Genomic DNA, 6,000 nt, shown 5'->3' with positions numbered 1-6,000 from the left:
CATGACAGAATTGTTCCAACAGAACTCCGGGCAAGCTGTGTTTCCTGGCGTTTTACTCATAGGTGTCACCCGAGCTGGCGACACTAGCAGGACCAGCTGTTTAGACTCTAAGCCTCCTCTATCCATCAGCCTACAGTCAAGCAAGTCAACAAAAGCAGTGGTGAAATGTATTTACCTTGGAACAGTTCTGTTAAAGCAACCAATGCCTGTCTTCATGCAGTGGAAGACTGAAGGTCAGAAAGAACGCTCTTGTTAGCAGCCTCTTCCTTCCCTTCCCTCTCTAGATGCTCAAAAGACAGATGAAGGAAACACAAACACAGCCTGGTGCAGGAGGCAAGGTGTCTTATAACAAAATGCCTCAAGCCCTACTTGTGTGGATCCCACTAGAAACCAAGGGAAGCCTGAAAAAGCCTCCCAGGGTGTGTAAGTTGCATTGTCACAGCTCAAAAAAGTTCTGTGAATCTGTTACACCTCAGCAGAACCCAAAGCCTGTTGTTCCCTGCACACCCACACTGCCTGTTTGTCTCTCTCCTTATCTACTTAGTTACCTGTTCTTTAAATGCCCAGACTACTCCACTCCTGAAAATTCACACACACACACACACACACACACACACATGCACACACACACACATAGACACACACACACATCTTTGCAAAGGTAAAGGCTACTTAGTCCTCTACCAAGACTCATCTCAGTAGTCACTTTCTCTGGCACTCTTGACACTCTCCCAAACAGAAAACCTCAAATGGGGCTTCCTGAGGCTCCCACGGCCAGTGGTATGGCCCTCTGGTTCGTACCACAAGCCATTCATCCTGCACCGTGACTGTCTGCGGAAGGACCATGTCTTAAACCTAATGTTCAGAATGTCTGTTGAATTAAAGCAAATACAGCTTAGCAGAAAACACTTTGATTGACAGTAGAAATTCTTGTAGATATATTCCCTTGTCAGTGTTCCTTCTGTGGGAAATTGGCACCATCATCGCCACCCAGTTACTCAAGCCAGAGACTGGCCTATCCACCATCCAATCTGTCACAAACTTCTCCCCTTTTTACTTCCTACCTCGTGGTCTTGGGGTTTATCATCTCTCACCTGGACTATCTCAGGGGACTCCCACCTAGTCTTTTGACTGGAAATCCACTTTCATTGCAGTCACTGATCTCACTGAAACAAAGGCCTGGCTGGTCACATCACTCTGTTGCTTAACACCACTCATAGCTGGAGCAGACCTACCCATCTGGTGCCTCAGCCCACCAGGGAGCCATGTGGAGAATGTGTGATGGAGATTTTGGCACCTCCTCCACTCTCAAGGCAGTTGGACAGGACCTAAGATTCCCCAGATGTGACATCTAGCTCCAAGCACCTCAGTCTATTTAGCCCAGTACCTAGACAGATGCGACCTAGTCATGTGACATGACAAGGAGCTAAGACCCCAGCCCCCTAAGACCCCACTCCCACCTCCCAGCCACATCTCACACCTACAAGCTTCACCCTTGCCCTTCAGCCTGCACCTTTTATGGTGCAGCCCCAGGTATGCAGCTATTTGTTACCAGGAGATTTGCTCTCCCTCTACCTGAAACACCTTCCTACTTTTCAAGTTTCTCTAAATATAAATTTCTCATCCTTTTCCACCACATTGACCTTTTCCAAGCTAGCTTGCTCAAATTAATCTGAAAGGGGACCATAATAAAAATGGATCTGATGCATGTTCATGTCATTCAACTGGTTTAAATAAATCCAGTGTAGCAACATGATTGTAAAGCCAGAAAGAGCCCCTTAAAGAAATGAATGTCCGGGTTCTTAACTCAACGTCAGAATAATCATCAGCATTTGCTCCTTTTCCCTGTTGTTTCCTTCTGGCCCACTTGAAACTTGTCATTTTTCAGAATTAAAATCTCAAGTTTTGCAAAGCTTGTACTCCAGGATGTAGAATCAGAGATTATTTTTGCTTGCTCCTGAGAGTTATGTTTGGAGGAGATCGCTAATTAAAATACCTTGGCGCCTATCCCTGAAGGCAGTCTCCTCCTCCCACTCCAAGAGCTTTCCAGCTCATGTCCTTGTTACTTGTCAGATCCAGATGAATGTGAAGACAAAGAGTGGCAAAGTGAAGAGAAATGCAGTCAGGCTCAAACTGAACAAATCCACAAACAGCTGTGCAACCATGAGACAGCATTTATTAGGTTTTATTTATTGATTCAAGAAAAATTTATTGACTACTTACCAGGTTATGTTTCTTAATTAGGGTAATGTAGTCATGGATGTTTGCAACATTTTTCTCTATGCCTTTTTGTGTGTCTGAAATATCTCATAAAAAGGAAGAGTTTTCCAGTTGAAATGGTTTATCCGTGTTTCAGTGAAAGCTGGGAGAAGCTAGTCAACCTCCTGGGTCTTTCTCGTTCTTATTGAAAGATGCCCTCTTACAGGACGGTCTGATGGTCAGGAAGCAGTCAACGAGTTAAGATGAGTGAGGCCTTCAACCTGAAGAGTTAGTGATTCTTAGTGTACCACAGTTTTAACAAAAATTGCTCTTGTCGATGCCAAAGAGATATCTTTTCTTCCCAGCTAAAAAATTTTAGGTCAGGACCCTCAAATATTCCTATTTACAGAGGGAGAGAAGAAAGAACTTAGTTTTACTGAGTACCAACAATGGGCAATTAGAATCATAATTATGCTTGTTCTTCATTGAGGGTGCTTGTTTCTCATCAAATTCAATATTCATAGAACATTTTTATTTCAAGTCATCTCACTCTGCAAGAGCTTAGTTGAAGAACCAATTGAAAACATCCCATGTGAATGAAACAGGACTGCTCTCATTGAAGCACTTGGTAAATCCTCATTGTGCCCAATCATTAGACTAAGCCATTGCTCAGCTGTAGCCTGTGGCCTAAAAAAGAATATGCAGGCCAACCATTCAGCTGATTTCCTCACCCTCTCCCATCAGAGATGGCTCTTTGAATTAGTAAACCCAAGTAATTTTCTGTCCTCTCTGCCCTCCCTTTCTTCTTCAATTAGAAATGAGAAAAATGTACAGAGATTAAGCTAATCCCCAGCTAAAGGAATGCCACACAAACTTGTAATCAACCCACCCAAGATGATGAAACCGGCTCATGCAGAAGAGCTTTCATCATTCACCCATCCTGGCTGCCATGATTAAGTGTTGGGAAAGAGGCCGGTTAGCCTCATGGGGAGAATAACTCAGTCCTTGGATGAATCATGAGCTATAAATAACCATCCACAATTCTCCCTTCTCCATCATTTCCCTTATGCTGCCCTCTTTCAAAGATGAGAACCAACAGTGAACTGAAAAGGGATTTAAAGCTAATCTTAAGGAATCTGTTCGTTTTACAGAAGGTAGGAACCACCAGGCAACGTCAACTGATTTTCCCTACCCCTCCTGTCAGGGCAGAGCAGGGAATCAATGAGATTACAAGTAGGAAAGTATTTGCAAACCCTCAGTGCCTCCCATTACTGCCCAAAGTCTCCTAGCCTGTTAGTGGCAGGGGTCTAGTTTTCCCGATTCTCAACCCTGCTCACTATACTACATGGCCTCTTTGTGTTACAGATAAGCAAAAGTGAGACCCCCAAATGCTTAAATAATGGGGATAGTCACAAACCACACTTAGATCCCAAAGCACCTAAGTCAAAGTCTTCTTTCCAAGGGCAGCATTGAAACAATGACCTGACTACCTCAGGCTGCAGATACGAGGGTGATTAGTATCCAAACACAGGAATGAAAAAAAACACAAAGGCCCAGTGCCCCCAGCCAGTCACTATTACGCCCTGCACTTTATTCAGTTAATTCAAACAACTAGGGATTTTCCAGTCAAAAAAAAAAAAAAAAATTCCAAGTTAATACTTTAGCTGTCATGAATGTAAAAGAAACATAAATGTCTTTGACGAGCATTGGCAATATGCTGGCTTGTCAAAAACGTGGGTTTGCTTTTGTCTATTAATAATAGTCTTTATATATACTGTTGTAAGATACAAAAATTATAACTAAATACAGCTGTTAAAATTTAATGAATCTGAAGTTGATACAACTAATTGTAAAGTATAACACAGGACATCTTGAGAGAGAAAATGCATTGTTTTACATCTTAAGCCCTTTATTGACTACAATGCAGAACATTTTATTTTAAGACACAGTGGGTTTTGTTTTTGTTGATGTTTTCACCAATTCAACTGAAGACGAAAGTCAAGACAATCAAATGGTAACTAGTAGCAGCCTATCAGTAAATGAGGGCAAGTATAGAGACTGTTCTTTGGACTGAGGTTAAATCAATTAGTCAATAAAGGCTTTTCCACTGTCTAATAATTATAACATATTAACAGTCGCCAAATAGTGTTGGATGGGACTCCTCTAGAAATAACTAAAGCCTTTCATTTTATACATGAAATAGCCACAAAATGTAGATGGGTTACATCAACTCATTGGATTTGCCCATCTTAAATTACTCTGAGATTCAGAGAAATCAAAATTTCATCATATGTTGTGCAACAGTTTCTTCAAATACTTTCTCATGCTCAATAAAATTAACATGGCATCCAGACACCCTTTAATTTCAACACATGACATATAAATGGTCACATCCATCATACACACATAGATGATTAGAAGACTTGAGGACTACGCAAGGATGGCAAGAAATCACTTGATTCTTCGGTTATGCCCTAGTGACAAATATATATTTCTTGGCAACCAGCCAATCAATTTTGGAAATAATGTTAGCCCATGACCTAATACATTCTAACAGCCTATCACTCGCTTTTCATGCACCATTAGGGCCGGTCACCAATCTCCTGCTGTCTTTCCCAGGCATACATTCCTTTCTTTGGAAACCTGAAATGCCCCTAGATAAATGTGCCCTTCTCCAGAGAAACACATTTCCCACTCCATTACAAATCCTGACTCAAAACTAAAATTAATACAGGCAGGCAATTGAGGGCTCTTAGAAAACTTCCTTAAAAATGACAAATGTATGTGATGTTAACACTATCCAATGTATCTGCATGCCACCTTATTAAATTAAAAACACCTGGTGTATTTATACAACATGTTCAATGGCTTACAGGTTAGGATCCTAGAAACAATACATGTCTTATAGCAAAAAATATACATATAATAATCCCCCTATAGTTCATATAAATGATGCAATGTTTTTGAATATATCTATATATATATACACATATATACTCTGTGTGTGTGTGTTTACAGAATCGGGCACACAAATACTGCAGTCCTTCATTGGCTCTTCCGCTTCAGTGTCAAAGTCACCAGATTTCAGAGTCTTAAGGATCGAAACAAAGGTCACCGCTGGGGACAAAGGACTGGCTTGATGCACCTTCCCTTGTGAAGGACCAAGTTTGCTGGACAGTGGCACCCAGCAACGCACGGCTTGTTGCATGGACCAATTTCATTCCAGTTGTCACACGTCTTGATACATCCCGGACCACAGGTATCGTACACAGCACCATGCTTACACTGGGTGGCTGAAAAAGAGAAGGAGACAAAGGCATAACATGGAGAAAGGCCCCATTAATTCACCCTCAGCCAGATGCCGTTCTTGCAGGCTCATGACACTTCATGGACGTTTCCATAGCTCAGGATCACATTTGCATTTTAACAAGAGAATGACAAACACCCAACATTCTTCAAACACTCTGGGAATCAGCTACATCTATAAAAACAAATGCAGGTAGATCTGAACAAGAATTTATCTTATTCTTAGATAAGATAAACTATAAATGTGTAAGCCTATAGGAAAATCTTTAAGGCTATTTAGTTATTGTACAAATAACTAAATAGTATAAAACATCTGCTGCAAATAGTCCTTTCAGCTATTGAGCTGTGATGAATAGGAATATTTTGTGCAACTACATCAATATTCAAATATATGAAATTACCCACAGAGAAAAAACCTACCAAGGATATTGGGAATGTGTGACATATTTTAATCAATGTAATCGTGTGTTAAATTAATAAATTTAAGGCATGTTG

The 6,000-nt window shown here is 41.0% G+C and overlaps 1 protein-coding gene across 4 annotated transcripts in view; it reads right to left on the bottom strand.

Moving 5' to 3' along the window:
• The window catches only part of BMPER (BMP binding endothelial regulator), a 251,513-nt gene continuing 247,669 nt past the window's right edge, over nucleotides 2,157-6,000 (bottom strand). For all 4 annotated transcript variants that reach the window (NM_133468.5, NM_001365308.1, NM_001410872.1 and 1 more), the window contains one exon: nucleotides 2,157-5,492. In NM_133468.5, the coding sequence (NP_597725.1) occupies nucleotides 5,311-5,492 (182 nt within the window). In that variant the 3' untranslated portion in view covers nucleotides 2,157-5,310. The remainder of the gene's footprint in view (nucleotides 5,493-6,000) is intronic.

Source organism: Homo sapiens, chromosome 7, assembly GCF_000001405.40.
Source record: "Homo sapiens chromosome 7, GRCh38.p14 Primary Assembly".
NCBI classification, from domain to species: domain Eukaryota; kingdom Metazoa; phylum Chordata; class Mammalia; order Primates; family Hominidae; genus Homo; species Homo sapiens.
Note: the sequence above shows the minus strand (reverse complement) of the source record. Positions and strands in the feature narration are given on the sequence as shown.